General features: G+C 43.2%; 2 annotated features.

Annotated features, from left to right (window-relative positions):
• Positions 1,438 to 1,507: a silencer, noted in NCBI's record as "silent region_15895". NCBI's record gives its function as "represses an Ori minimal core promoter by ATAC-STARR-seq in GM12878 lymphoblastoid cells {active_cell/tissue: GM12878}" and the evidence as "EXISTENCE:reporter gene assay evidence [ECO:0000049][PMID:35858748]".
• Positions 6,878 to 7,172: a silencer, noted in NCBI's record as "tiled region #9370; HepG2 Repressive non-DNase unmatched - State 13:Ctcf, and K562 Repressive non-DNase unmatched - State 20:ReprD". NCBI's record gives its function as "represses a minimal TATA promoter and a strong SV40 promoter by Sharpr-MPRA in HepG2 and K562 cells {active_cell/tissue: HepG2 | K562}" and the evidence as "EXISTENCE:reporter gene assay evidence [ECO:0000049][PMID:27701403]".

Here is a 15,784-nt window from a genome sequence, read left to right as displayed (position 1 = left end):
TCTATAAGCCTGTAAGGTCAGAGGAAGAGATTGCCACAGAAATAAAAGGAATCCTGCACACAGAGAGCACATGCAGGATCAGGCTAAGCCCAGACATGACACACATTGAGCAGTTTCTTGTCACAGTTTGTGTTCTGTCATGTGAGGAGCCTTCAGTCCTTTGTTCAGCATCCACAGGGAAATGCACTCTGACAATTTCCCCAGTTAGGTAGGCTGTGACTATGGCCTGCCTGCAAGGAAGGTCTTGGATGAATTCGATCTTGGGGAGTTTTACCATTGTGATTTGGAGAGTTGCTCCAAATCAAATACCTTAAGCCAAAACCCACCCAAGGCGATTAATTGTAACCAACATCTCACAGGAGACACAGCATTGTGCTGCCTATGTATTCTGAGACTTCAGGCCTTGGAATATTCCCCAGGATAATCGAGAAGTTGGACTTATTTCCTCATGAGTTTTTGACAAATTACCAATCTGGCTCCTATACCGTTTATATGTCTTTCCCATCCCTCTCTGGAGAGATAAGGAATCTGGCTGGTAAGAAACAGATGACTGCTGAGGCTCATAATGAGAAAGCTAATAAAGAAGGAATTTTCAGCAGGATAAGTGGCTTCTTGAATAAAGGATTCCTTTATTACCTCATGAATCACAGTTAAAAGCCAATGTCATGGGGCTGAGGAATTATCTGCAGTTCAGAAAAATGAGGAAGAAACAGAAAAAAGAAACCTAGGAAACTTCTCAGGATGTTGACTCGGTGCAGTCTGTCAGAAATGAACCAAAATAATTTTAAAAAATGACCACTTTATCTTAGGGACTGAGAAACCTAATGACTTCTACGTGTCACTGACATTGGTGCTCAACCCAGTTTCTGGTGCCTAAGTTTGGTGGTTGTAGTATAGTTATTTGTAAGAATAGAGACAGAACGATGCTTGAGTTATTTACAATTCATCGTTATGATCCAGTTACTAGGGACATAAGGACAGAGAAAAGAAAAACTCAAAAGCAAAAATCAAGCAATGCAGGGACCTGGGTAAGGGGTGGGGGATTATTGATGGAAACCGGGTGGGTGGAGGACGCCCCACCAAAGCTTCCATCCAGACCCCTCAGTTTTCTGGAGTTTTCCATTCCCTGCATGAAGCATCCAGGGGGAGAGAACTGCTCACTCTTTAAGAAGCGCGCCGCTTTGGGAGTCCACCGGGCCCACAGGACCCGTCCTCGAGGGCAGGTGAGAGCTCTCAGGGCTGCAGGTGGAACTGTAGCCCCACTCGAGCATTCCGGTGAAATCGAAGTGGTCGGTGGGAAGCCAGCGTCGCCGCTCAGCTCAGTGATTGGTTCTCAAACGGGGAGGTCCCGGGACGGCAGGGGTAAAGGGAGCGACTCCCCTTCCCCACCGCCCCCGCCACCACCACCACCCCTTCCCACCCCTGGCACAGCGCTGATGGGCAGGAGCTGAAGCTGGCAGGTGTCACCGCCAGGTGCCTGGGCGGGGCCGCGCGCTCCCTCTGCTGGCGGAGGCGGGAGCGGGCACACGGGCTGCGGGGACCCGGCCGGATGCCTGGGTCTGTGCGCCAGCAAAGCGAGGCTGGTGTTGCAGGAAATGCTGCTGCGTGCTCCTCCACGTTCGTGTTGGGACCGGCTCGTGATGCTTCAGAGACAGCCTCTGCAAGCCCTGTGGATGTTGACGCATTGAGGGGACAATGAAAATTGGGAAGAATAGAAAGGAACCTGCCATCCCCCAGGCCTTGCTGTGTGGATGAAACGCAGCTCGTGTCTCCAGGGAAAACCTGAGCAGTGAGAAAGCAAGTCCATCAGATAATCTCAAAACCAGAAATGTCACCCATGTGACTCGAGACCCACGTAAATGAAGGCCATGTACCCCCCACCCTCCTCTCTGCCGTAGGAACGCCCCCTGGACCACGCCCTGCAGAGGGTGTGGGAGAGAGGGGCGTCCCAAGTGGCATCTCCTGGGGAAATGTCTCCAAGGCTCCGCAGGTGCGGACACCACCCCTTCCCTCGGCCTCGTGGCCGCCTGGCCCAGTTCACGTGTCCACGGCAGGCTGCAGTCCGTGGCGTGGGCCCGGCTCTCCCGTCTCGACCGTAGGTCTGCGGGCCAAGGCCTGTGACTTCTGGTCCCTGCAGCCCAAGCAATGTTCAGTGATTTCAGAATAAATAAATATAGGAACAAATTAGGGAGGGCAATGAGAGGGTTAGAAGAGTCTTGAAATGGAGCCCCAAGTCCTGGAGCAGATTACTGTGGAAAAGGGAGGGAGGGCAGGAAAGGAGGGAGAGAGGGAGGGAGGGGTGGGGGAAAATAAGCGGGGAGGCAGAGAGAGAGAGAGAGAGATTGTTTCATTCAGACAGCACCCTTGAACTCTGTTTTAAAACCTGACCTTTCAGGACATGAGAATCCTCCACCTTAGCCAGCTCCGATTAGTGAGTAAGGAGGAAACAGAACCCCCTAAAAATCACATGAACACGGAGGCACGGCCCAGATGACCCACGATTGCCACAGCCCTGGGGCCACCCTGGGAGCCAGCGATGCTGGGGCTACCGGGTGAGAGCAGTGCGGGAGCCCCCTTATACCATAAGGGCCTCCATGCTCCAATTCCTCTTTCTAAGGAGGTTCTCAGGAGGCAGCTGGGCCACTGCAGCTGCTGCTGGCATCTGGGTTTGGGTGCTCTGGTTGTGGTGGCCCAGAAGGCTGATGGAGTGGATGCTAAGGGACAGTTGCACAAAGGGCTGAGGGCCCTGGGCCATCCCACCGGCACCCTGGGCATCCCCAGAATCCCCTCCAGGGTCCCCCAAGACCTTGCAATCATGGACCACCAAGGCCCTGGTCACTGTCTTAGATACTGTTGCTTCTGCACCAATGGAAGGAAAAACCCACACACCGCCACCCCCCTTCCACCCTTACCCTCATCTCAGCCCCATGACACCCTCATTCCAGTAACTCCTTCCATTCAGCAAAACCCATTCCCCAGCTCTCTGGACACAGGGTGAGCACAGCCCTGCTACAGAAAGTCCCCTCTTGCTGTTTTACATAAGACCCCTGCCCTGGGCTAAAGGCCAACTTGGGCCTCTCCAGCTGCTCCAGGGCTGGAGGCTCCTCTCCTCTGAGGCAGGTGATTCCTTGGATATCTTATCTCTCTCCCCAGATGGTGGAAACCTGGGAGACAGGATCAATAACTAATTCTTTCTCCCTCAAATAGTGCTTAATACTTAAATATCATAGAACATGATGATTTTTTCAATGAATAAGTAATTAGTACAAAGGCCAGCTTTGATCACTTTACTTGAGGGATCCAGGGTTTATTTTTCCTCTCACAGGATATTAAAATCAAAAACTTATTTGGAGAATAGGGGTCTAGATTGGAATGACTGGGGGAAGTGAGGTGAGGGAAGAAAGATGGAGAGAGAGAGAGACTGGTACAGACACCTGCACATTTGGGGATAAACAGCCAGTGCTCCGTGGGAGATGGGAGAGGGACCTGGATCTTGGGATCTTGCCCACCACACCCCAGCTTGTCTAGAAAGTGCCTCAGGAGTTCCAGACAAGCACAGAGGTCCCAGCAGACACCTGAAAAAGGTTTAGAAAACCACTTTTGTTCAACATCCCAAATCTTTGCGCCACCTTGCAACTTACCAAGGATGCAGCAGGGTCAGAAGCTCCCCATCATTTCTGCTCCCGGAGCGCAGGTGCAAGAGCATCCATCCCTGCAGGGGCAGGCAGGTAGGTACCCAACAGGATTGCAGTCTGGCACGTGGGAAATCCCGTGACTCCTGGTCCCCTCCCTAATTCTCCTAGGAACATGAAGCCCCCCATTGAGCTCTGTTAGTTCTCCATGGGGCTAGGCTTCAGGTGATTGGAGAGCCCTGCCAAGGCCAGCCATGGATACACTGTGGACAGCACAGCCCATTTTTAAAGCTGCAGGTAGAGCAGAAGTCAGCTGCTAGTACATCCAGGTCTTGAAAGGTGTGTCTGCAGCCTTTCCTGCTGTAGAAATAAAGACAATCAGAATCTGTGTTGAAGAGAGTTAAGAACACACTCCTTAACTCAAATAACATTTTTTACTATACATTTTGGAAAAGTTATTACATTATTATGTTTAAGGTAGAAAAATAGAGCCTACATGTGAATATCAAAGCAGAATGCATGATTGATTTTCTCTCAGTCTTAATTTAGAAATTTTTGACAATCAATTATCATAGAGGCAGAAGGAAAGTCAATCCCAGACACTGCGGTCAGAATTACCGACTAGTTGCAGGCCTCTGGGCACCTTTCAAAGCGAAAGTATCAGTGTCCTTCCTCTACTGCACACATTGGGATTTTCTTATTGCTCTTCTCTACTGATGAAGATGGTGCCATCAGCCCACTTCAGAAATGCATGTGCTTGGGTCAGTTTCTAAGAGGACACACTGGATTTAGGTGGGTTCACCTGTGCCCTCTGGGCCTGCATAGAATAGGGAAGTCATCATTTCTTTTAGTAAGTGACAGAGTTAGTTTCATCTTTTGTCCTTACCATGGAGCAAAACTCTCTGGATGCATTGGGAAGATGGTGGAGGTAAATTCTGATCACATGCACATATGTTGCAGGAGAGTTGACTCCTCACAGGGCCCGTCAGCCCCCACTTTCTTCTCAAGGGAGGCCATAGCCACTTGGTTGGAGACTAGGCAGATGGGATAGGTTGGAATAAGTAAGCAACTTGTGGGAAAATACGTTTCAAGTTGAGCTGTGTCTTCCAGTGCCGACTCCTAAGTCAAAGCCAGGGAGACCAGGGAGCTCCCCCTGGCAAGCAACCCCTGCTGCCCCATCTGGGCCTTTTTGTTCGGCACCTATGTGGGTGGCCAAAGCCACATGCTCCTTGGTTGTAGCCCATTCTTGCGGCTGAGCCTTGGGGCTGATGGAGGTGGGATCAGAGGAGGTCACAGCCCAGCAGGTCCCTGTGTTTCCTGAGCAGCCAGCAGAAAGGCCTTGCCTTCGTGTACTTTACCAAAGAGCAGATGGAGAGTTAGCTGAGCATAAACAAAGAGCAGAAAACCTGATTGGAAAAAGGGCCCATTGTCTGTGACTTTCAGTCTCTCACAGGCGGCAGAAATTACTTTTCTGCTTGAGTCATGAGCAGAGTGCGATGCCCACATGATGGCATTTGTTAGGCACGTTGGGTGTGTGTGCTCTGAAGTTTCTAAAGCACCCGGGCTACAGAGCTGCCCACCCAGAGCCTTCCAGACCAGCTGATGTCCCAGATTGGCTCAGAAAGCTTCTTTTTCAGATGGAGCTTGGGCACCCTGAACAATCTTATGTACAGGTTTGGGCCAAATGCTCTGTGTCCTGTGCTAATTATTTTCTATTTCTGGCCACCGCTGAGGTAGCTACCTGTCTTTATAAATCAGACATATTGGAAACAACATCCAATCCAATTACTACTCCAAAAATTCAACATTTTACAGGCTTTTGTTTGCATTATTTTTGGTAGGAACTATGGACTTACATATTGCATCTTAAAGCAACCCAAATTTTCAGATGCATCTAGGCTGGATAACCCAGTTATCTTTCTGACACATTATATGCATGCCAAGATGTTGGTACGTTTCATGAATCAAATCCAAACTCTCAACTGGCACTTAGTACCCACTGCCATGTGGCCAACCTGTCCCCATTGCTGCATCTGGCACTCTCTCATGCCAGCTTCTCCACGCTGCTCACCACTCCCCGTGCACACCCCTCTTATCACTTAGGGCCAGCTCCTTCCACGCTGCCTGACAGAATAGTGTGTTTGGAATTGTGGGACTGACGAGGAGGTGTTAATGTAGCTTGTTTCCCTTGCGCAAGATAAACTTCTCAAAGACTGTTATATTTATCCTCTATAATATATACTGCCTTGTCTTGCATATAATAAGCCCTCACTAAATGTCTACTGACTAATATCTAATATCTGCTGGCTGAGTAACTAAATGAATGAATAAATGAATGGCAAGCTTGAGGATAGTAAGCTAAAGGAATAAATAAATATTTGAGGTTCACAATAGTAAATGTCTTAATTGATACTGTTCTTAGTTGCATTTTCAGAAAGACAAAAAGTTTTATCAGACAATTTTTTTCTAAGGGAATTTATAACATACCTTTCACAGCCATGATTTTTATTTTTTTAGAAGGCAAATTCCATAAGATTTGGGATATGCAGAGGTTTCTTCCTTTAAAGGAAACTACTAGATACATTCTAATTTTGCAAAATAGTTTATCCTAACATTTTTAAATCAATGGTTACCTTTATATTCTCAAAGTATAATTGATTGTCAAGATAATTTGTACCTTTCTAATTAGAGAAGCCTGAGAAGCCACTGATTGTAGAAATTTAGTTTTCTCTATTAATTCCTTGCTGTTTAAGAATTATCTACAGTTTCTAAATGAAAATCAGGCATACAAATGCAAACACACACACGCCGGTAAATCCAATGCTTTAATCTGGAAAAACTTTAACGCTTTTGGTTTTATTGTCAATTATCTAAGCTTTTTTATGTGTTGACCCAAATTTGATCCTTCTTAATGGGAGGTTGTGCTTGTTGATTCAATTTGGATATTTAAAATACTTGTAATTGCTGTCTTATTACTCATTCAATCAATCCATATTTATTATGGTATGTCAGATGCCATTCTAGCCACTGGGATATCTCTGTGAATTAAATAGACATAGTTCTTGGATCGAAGAAACAGATGATAAATAAAATATATCAGTGAAACATACAGTATTTTAGGTAATACATATTTTGGAGAGAAATAACCCTGGAGAGATGGCAGGTAGTGTGGGGAGGGTTGTGGTACTTTAACTCTGTTGGTCAGGGAAAGTCTCCTGGGAAGGCCATGTTTGAGTAAAGCTCTGAAGGAGGTATGTGGGAGTCATGAAGAATACTCTGGCCAAGAATACTCTGTCTTGCTATGACACAGTCAGAACTCCCTGGCTGACCTGTCGCCTTCCCCACCCACTCTCACCTCACAGCCATCACTCACCTGCACCATGTCAATTGTCCTGCCTTGGCCGGATTACCTGGGCTGCTGACTAGGGGGAGCTGCAGGACCATCTCTGCCCTTGGGGGCTTTGCAGGTGGCTCCATGGCTCAGATGCAGGGCCCCGGCTGGCTCTTTCCTCACACCACCATCATCCACTCTGACAGCACATGGGGCGGCTGCTGTGGGACCACACTGAGAGCAGCCGTCCTCATCTGGTTGATGGAGCTTCCCCTTTGTGGGGACCCACATGTAGATTTAACTTATCTCTCAAGATGGCTTTACTTTTCCTCTATATAATTCAATATTTATATCATTATAGACATTTTAAATGATCCAAAATTGTGTTCATCCTGAGATATGAGTGTGCAGAATATTGAGCACAGCTTATGTAATCACTGAGTTCATGCCTTGAAGATACGTTCAGAATCTATTCCTACTCCATGAAAAGTAAATTGAACCTGCAATTCCATGCTGGTATCTGCCCTAATCACCAAGGAGAAAGACTGTAGATTCCATTACTGTCAAACCTTAGTCCCTATAACAACCTGCATTGTTAGAGGCTTTAAATAATTATTGAAATTCTCCTCAGCTCTCTCATACTCTAATTTAAGACCATTTTTTACGTTCTTTTCTCAATGGGTACATCTCCTTTATAAAATAATCTTTTGTAGCTGTAATCTTTCCATCTTTTCCCTATTACATAAACCCAGATTGCATAACCACAGCCAGCCTCATGTAAAATTGTCAAATAGGTCTTTCTCTGAGTCTGTTTGTCCTACTTGCAGGCACTCTTGACCAAGACTCAGGCTCTTCTGAAGCAGGAATGTTCTGGGTATTTCAGATAATACATATTTTGGAGAAAAATAACCCTGGAGAGAGGGCGGGCAGTGTGGGGAGGGTGGTGGTACTTTAACTTTGTTGGTCAGGGAAAGAAAAGCACTGTCACTAAGCTAAGGATAATTTACAGAAGATTTAGCTATTTAAACATTCAGTGCAGTCTGGTTAGTTGCTAATATTACAATGTCGGCAATAAATAGTTTTGACGCACATCTTGGAGATGACCCTCTCTGCCCACTGTGGTTTCTAGGTTTCTAAGACACATGTGGTCTCCTGCACATGAGGCCACGGAGCCCATCTGCTGATAACCTTCATACACTGGGTTTTCTCTGCAGGAATTTGAAAATCCTGTGTGTCTTCTCATAGGTTTTTAAAGTCCTTCCCAAGGTCCTAAGAAGTTGCGATAATGGAATTCTGATGGCATAGCAAGAATCCTTTTGCTCCCTTAAAATGCTCAGTCTTCTGATAGGGGCAAGTCTTGCCCCTTCCGCAGTGGCATGTAACATGCCCTCTCATGTGGATACCGCACAAGTTCATTGCTTTCCGCAAAATGCAGTATTACTTAGCTGCCATGTCTTATTTAGTACAATGAGAGATGCTTTCCTTTAGTAGGATCCACATAACTGAATCATGTAATATTCATGTCCCACGTCAACTCTCCAGTCTTTCTAGCTATTATCTCTGAGGAAAGCATGACCCAGCTTCATGTGCATACAACGTGATCTGGCTAAGACGGGATTTATAAAGCCAGGAGAGCATTCCAGGCTAATGGCTGCATGTTTCCCAGCACTGCTAGTAGAGACACGTGGATGTGTGATCCGGAAGGGGTCACAGATGTCATCTAATCAAACCTATACAATGTATAGATACATAAACTGAGACCCAAGGAAGTGATGTGCCTTGGCCAAATGTCAGAATTTAAAAATACAGATGTTTTGAATGAATAAGATGTCTGCATCATTCTAATGGCGTTTTAAAAAATATATAATGATTGTCACATGGAAAAAAATAAAGACATGGTCATGATGTCGAAAGACTAGAAACATCTGTCAATGCTGCGATAAATGACAATTGTAAAGGAGGCATCAAGAGAGGGAAAGAAGGGATAAGTAACTAACAGCAAGTAATGAGTTTGTGTCGGGCCAGGCTGACATAGGCCTCCCTGGGGTTATAACCTTGGGATCTGTATTCTTCTAGCACTAATTCTGAATCATATAAACATGCAGAGCTGCATCTATGCTTATCCCTATTCTGTGGGACCACACCTGGGCTGAGGAGGATGTAAATTGGCATGAAGATACCAGGAATCCCAGTGAGTGCATCAACTTACCTTTAAACACATCACCGCAGTATCTCACCTCTGGCAGGGGTATGGGAATGGGGAGCTGCACCTTGGTGGCTGCTGGGCTTCCTCAGGAGAGGAAGATGCAATGTCTGCTGTAGCCCCGCCCTGCATCCTTCTACAAAGCTAAGTACATTCAATATTGGGTTAAAGATTGCTTATATATCAAAAGCAGAAGAACCAGTTTGACTGGGCCACAACCTCTCCACCATTCAAAAAAATACAAGAAAAAGTAAAAGATCAAAGAAGCAAACAGGAAAGAAATAACAAAAGACAGGCAGTGAGGCAGAAAGTAAGACAGGAATGACACAAGAAACGATAGAAATAAAAAGAAGGAGGGCTGGGTGCGGTGGCTTACGCCTGTAATCCTAGCACTTTGGGAGGCCGAGGCGGGTGGATCAGGAGATCAACAGATTGAGACCATCCTGGCCAACAGGGTGAAACTCTGTCTCTACTAAAAATATAAAAATTAACTGGGCGTGGCGTTGTGCACCTGTAGTCCCAGCTACTCAGGAAGCTGAGGCAGGAAAATCGCTTGAACTGGGAAGTGAAGGTTGCAGTGAGCCGAGATCGCACCACTGCACTCCAGCCTGGGTGACAGGGCGAGACTTCATCTCCAAAATAAATAAATAAATAAATAATAAAGAGAAGGAGTAGACAAAAGAAAGAAAAAGTGAAAAAAGAAGAAAAAGGGAAACGAGACAAAAGAGAAAATGAGAAAAAGAAAGGAAAATCGACATTCCATCCCATCATCTAGAGTTATCCCTTATTTAACTTCTGAGGCTTGCTCATTGTGGATCCTTGGAGACCCATTGTGGCCCAACAACCTTGGGAAGTGGAAATGAGCCGTTCTCATTGGTGATCTGCCTTTGTCACTACATAGAAGAGCATCGCCTAGGACAAAAATACGGGAAGCAAAACATTGACAGAGGCTCACGGTGCCTCCTGACCACATGAAATTTACTAATCCCATTTCTTCACCTATACAGTGTTCAAACAATAAAGGCTCCCAAGGTGTGATATGTTAAATGCAGGCAATATAGAGACATAACTTAATACATATCAGCTCACTATCCTTCCCTGATGGCGTACATATTTGTTATCTTTGTTTGATTTTTAAATTATCATGACTCAGGTACAAATAAGAACAGATTTCTGCATGCCAAGACAAGAAAAAGAAAAATTTTGGGGTAGCTGTTACACTGATACTATTTGAACTTTACTCTGAACCTAATTTTTCCAGTTATAAGAGCACTCATGGAAGTTATGTATTATTTCCAACAACCAAACATCAAGATCGAGAGTCTCAAATTGAAGCTTGAAGATATATGCTAACAAGGGATACTCCCAAAGATCTTGCATTTTTTTTTTTGGTGTAAAATGCCAAAATATAGAGTGGATGCATAAGGAAGCAATGATTTCAAGGTCCTCTCTCAGACTTCTAGGTGATAATCAGTAACTACTCTAAATGATAACCAAAGACAGATAGAATGAGAAAGAGTAGGGTTGCTTACTAAAATGCATGCTTCTGAAAACTGGGGGTATACAAAGGAAGAAACAGGCATAGCCTTGTCAACCCTCACACATCAAAAGTGACATCCCTGCACTCTGCAAAGCTGAGAGATGGCTCCAGCAGGCTCCTGATGAGTGACAGCTTCCACCAGGGCTTCAGAGCGAGAACACAGGATCTTTATCCCTGATACTGTCCTCTCCCAGTCCTAACAGTATCCAATACTGCCCCAGGTTCTTCTGTGGAAAAATAAATAAATAACAAGAGAAAAGAAAGAGGAGTTAGAAAAGAGAAAGAAGAGGCACCTGGGGTATGTATTTGTTTCTTCGAAACACAAGTGCCCACCATGTCCTGGTTCTGTGCCAGGCATGTGGAGGAGATGGATGTGTGAACAGTTGGTTGCAATTCAATGTGACACGTTAATGGAGTTATGTAATAAGTTGAGTCAAATGAAATTGCCTTTATGAAGGTCTAAATGGTTGGATAGTATCCATTTCATAAGGTTCAATCTAATATAGAGAGCTCATTCTTTGGCCTCTGAGGTCACAATTAAATAAATCTTAAAGGTTAGCCTGGCATTTTCCAGAGGACTGGAAGAGAAAGTTGGTTATAAACAAGAGGAAAAAATGCGCATAGGTCAAGGCAAGTCGACGTGAGGTGCCCCTGTGCTCAGGGAGGGACATAAGGCTCTCCGTGGTTGGGGAATAGGTGGCTGCTGACAAGTGATAGGAGTAGCAGAGAGACAAACAGTGTTTTTGTCGGCTGGACTGAAGTTGTCTTCATCACTGGTAGGCAACAGAGATCTACCAAATTGTTTAAAATACAAAAATGGGTCATGTGGTGTAATGGTAGATTTTGGGTGTCAACTTGACTGGATTAAGGGATACCTAGATAGCTGGTAAAGCATTATTTCTGGGTGTGTCTATGAGGATGTTTTTGTAAGACTGACTCCTGAATCAATGGACTAAGTTAAAGAAGAACCACCTTTACCCAATGTAGGGGGAAACCATCCAGTTGGCTGAGGACTTGGATAGAACAAAAAGGCAGAGAAAATATAAATTTCTCTCTCTCTCTCTCTCTCTCTCTCTCTTTCCCCTTTGCCCCCTTCTCTCTCTCTCCCTTGCTCCCCTTCTCTCTCACACATACTTTCTCTCTCTCTCTCCCCCTCTCTGCCCCTACCCCTCAGAGCTGGGTCACTTTTCTCTTCTTCCCTTGGACATCAGAACTCCAGGTTCCCTGGCCTTCAAACTCTGAGACTTGCACCAGTGGCCCCGTGGAGAAAATTTTTACTTTAGCAAAATTGCAAATCATCTCATTCATTCAGTGACTCATAGATCTATTCAATCAAACTGTATTAGATGTATACACTATGTCAGGAACTGCAATGACTGCTGGAAATTTGTTACCAAAGAGACACAAGCTTTTAATGTAGTTAAAATTTTCCAAAACAAATAGACAAATAACCAATAATGGCAAACATGGAGAACCATGAAAGTTCGTAGAAGCTTTCCTTCATGTGATTGAATGAAAAGTATCTCTGCAAGATCCTGAGAAAGAATGGGACATTCAGATAAAGGAGTGCTGTCATTATGAAAGTAGAGCATTTGAAAAAGAGTGTAGAAAACAGAGAAAGAGATAGGGAGATGGAGGGAGAGGAGAGAGAGAGAGAGACAGAATGAATGGAGGAAAACAGAGAAAGAGATAGGGAGATGGTGGGAGGGGAGAGAGAGAGGAATGAATGAATGGAGGAAAACAGAGAAAGAGAGAGGGAGATGGAGAGAGAGAGAGAGAAAGAGAGAGAGAGAGAGTGAATGCAGGAAAACAGAGAACGAGACAGGGACATGGAGGGGGGAAGAGAGAGATAGAGAGAGAAAATGGAGGGATCAGAGATCTGTCCAAGCCTCAGATTCTAATGTAATATTAATGCACTCCAATATGTCAAGAAGGTAGTCACCCTAAGACAAATTCATTCTCTTTGTGGGCAGGTGCTCTGACCACAGGGTGCCCAGCAGTCTTGAGCTCAAGCACATGACTAGAGGTCACTGCTAGGAAGAAGGAAGACCCTCAGGGGATTCACAATTGATGGCACACCATCCACGTCAGTCTGAAATTTAACAGCAGGCTGCCTACATTAGTGTGCTGCCTTCAGTCTTCCATGTTATTGTGACAGATGATTAGCAAAGAAGTGCTTGTGGAATTGTCCCCACTACTCATTATGAATTTATATAAACCATATTGAATTAAACATCTGTTGGCAAATAAGTTAGCTTCCCAAATCCCACTTCCTATGTCATCTATACATGTGTCTTCGTGATATAATAAAAATTCAGTGGTCAAATATATAAGAAATGCTTTATGCAAAGTTGCATAATAGTTTTGGATTGTAGTTTTCAAAATCCATGTAATATGAGTAGTGGTATGGATATTTAGTGCTCTTTTCCTTAATGCACACATTCATGTCAGTGTTTGCTTGCCATACTGAAGTGAACAGTAAAAATACAGGATTTAATAAGTAGCAGGTATCCAAACGTAGATGCTCAAGCTGTTTTTTTTTAACTTAACATTTAGATGTCGAAGTTGTTTTACAAAATAAAATGTGAAGAGAAGATTTAGAAATAAAAATATTGCAAATATGATCATGCACCTGTCTATTAAAGCAAAATTTAAACTCAGATATTTCAATCACATGTATTAATTAGCAAATCACTGAGACCAATCATTGGTTAAACATGCCAAAAACCATAAAAACATTGTTTTGATAAAAACAAACTGAGTAATTTGGAGAGTTAATCTCATTCAGAACAACTTTAAAAGCTGGTAAATATATTTTGCTGAAAGACATGGAAGCACCAGCAAGGTACTGAAGTAATTACAGGACAAGACAAGTGAGAAGAAGAAAGTCTCCAAAGGCAAGCCCAGCATTTTGACCTTCCTTTCCTCTAGGAACATCTACTGATTCCAGAAAGTTGAGAGACTAAGAAACAAAACAAGCTTTTGTCATCCTTTTGGGTCTGAGAGACAAAACTTGGAGTCCAGGGCCCGCCTTGTGGGGTGGTCACTGGTAAGTTCTCCGTGTGCTGAGCTGAGAACCTGAAGGACCACACCATGAGAGAATGAGCACACTAAAAACAGGCTGGATTACATAGACTGAACTCCAGGCTTCAATCATCACAGCCCCTAGATTACCAATGCCCAGATCCACCCACCAGAGGCAAATGAAAATATTCTTTGCAAGATCTCATAGCTTAGAGATTAAATTATTTCTGGTTTATTCATTATCAATTTTTAATACTTAATCATAGGCAATTATGCAAATAATGAGAAAAGAACACATTTCTAAAAGTGACAGACAATAAAAACAGACTCAGGGGAGTTAGATAATAGAGTTGTCTGACACAAAATTTAAAATAAATGTGCCTAACATCTTTAGTAATATAAAAGCAAGACTAAACATTTTGGTTAAAAAAATGAAAATTGTGAAACAGAACCAAGTGGAATCTCTGTATATAAAAAAATAAAAATAAGAACACAATAAGTGTGTTTAATATCCAAATAAACACAGACGAATAAAACATTCCATGAACTGGAAGATAGAGGAAAAGAAAACATTCAGAATGAAACACACAGGAAAAAGAGGCTGGATGATGGAGAATGGGGTCAGAAGAGAGAGTAAAAGCTGCAGGAGGTAGGGAGATGGTCTTACATACACACAATTAGAGTCCCAGGAGGAGAGAAAAAGAGAAAGGAGCAGAAGTGACCTAAAGGCCAAGAGATTTCCCAAACTGATGCAAAACCACAGCAAACTAATTCAAGAAGCCCTGCAACCCCTCACAAAATAAACATTCACGAAAACAAATATACACAACAAAAAAAATTAAAGAGAATGAAAAATATTTAAAAGTAGCCACAGGAAAAATAACACAGCATATCCAAACAAGCAACAATTAAACCATTGAGTTGATTTCTCAATAGAAACTAAGGAAGACAGAAGGCCATAGAATGAGCTCAGCAAAGGGTCAATTAAAAATAAAAGCTTATCTAGAATTCTATATCCAGTAAAACTATTCTTTAAAGATAAAAGTGAAATACAGAATATAGTACCAAAGGATCCCCTTTAGGTAGAAAATCACCCCAGGTAATAACACAGAAGCAGGGAGAATAGATGACAGGAAAATGATAAACATGTGGTGAATTTACATGAATGTGTTCTGGATAAAATAGTTATTAATAATTTACCATGGAGTCGAGGTCAGGAGATCGAGACCATCCTGGCTAACACGGTGAAACCCCGTCTCTACTAAAAATACAAAAAAAAAAAAATTATCAGGGCATGGTGGCAGGCGCCTGTAGTCCCAGCTACTAGGGAGGCTGAGGCAGGAGAATGGCATGAACCCAGGAGGCGGAGCTTGCAGTGAGCTGAGATCGCACCACTGCACTCCAACCTGGGAGACAGAGCAAGACTCCGTCTCAAAAAAAAAAAAAAAAAAAAAAAAAAAAAAATATATATATATATATATATATATATATATATATACACATATATGTAAAAAATAATTTAACGTGGGTTTTCAAAAAATGCAAAATTTAAATTAAAATAATAATAGTGTAAAAATAAGAAGAAGGTAAATGAGTGAAAATATACCAAGGTTCTCATTTTCTTGGAAATGAGTTCAAAAATGAAGCAGAAAACAGATTTAGAAAGTTCAGGTTGTGTACTGTAATTTCCACAGGTAATTACCTTATAGTAGGTAAACACCAGAAGAATGAAAGCGTGTAAATATAATAGAAAGGGAAAATGAAATAAAATAGTTTCAATAATTTTATAAGAAGGAAAGAAAAAAGATCATAGTCAAGACAATTAGAAAATAAGAGTCAGGAGTTTTAAAAAGCAAGCGTATTAATAGTCATATTAAATGTAAATTGACTAATATATGAATTAAAGGGTAAAGAAAACAAAGCTCTTCATTCTGAAAAACAAGCACAAGTACACACTGCTGGTAAGAAACACACTAACACGATATAAATAGAGAAAGCTTGGAACAAAAATGATGGGGAAAATTAACACCATGTAAATATTAACCAAGAAGTGC

The sequence above is a fragment of the Homo sapiens genome, chromosome 5 (assembly GCF_000001405.40).
Source record: "Homo sapiens chromosome 5, GRCh38.p14 Primary Assembly".
In the NCBI taxonomy this organism is placed as follows: Eukaryota; Metazoa; Chordata; class Mammalia; order Primates; family Hominidae; genus Homo; species Homo sapiens.
The sequence above is the reverse complement of the archived record's forward strand: the minus strand, read 5'-3'. Positions and strand labels throughout refer to the sequence as shown.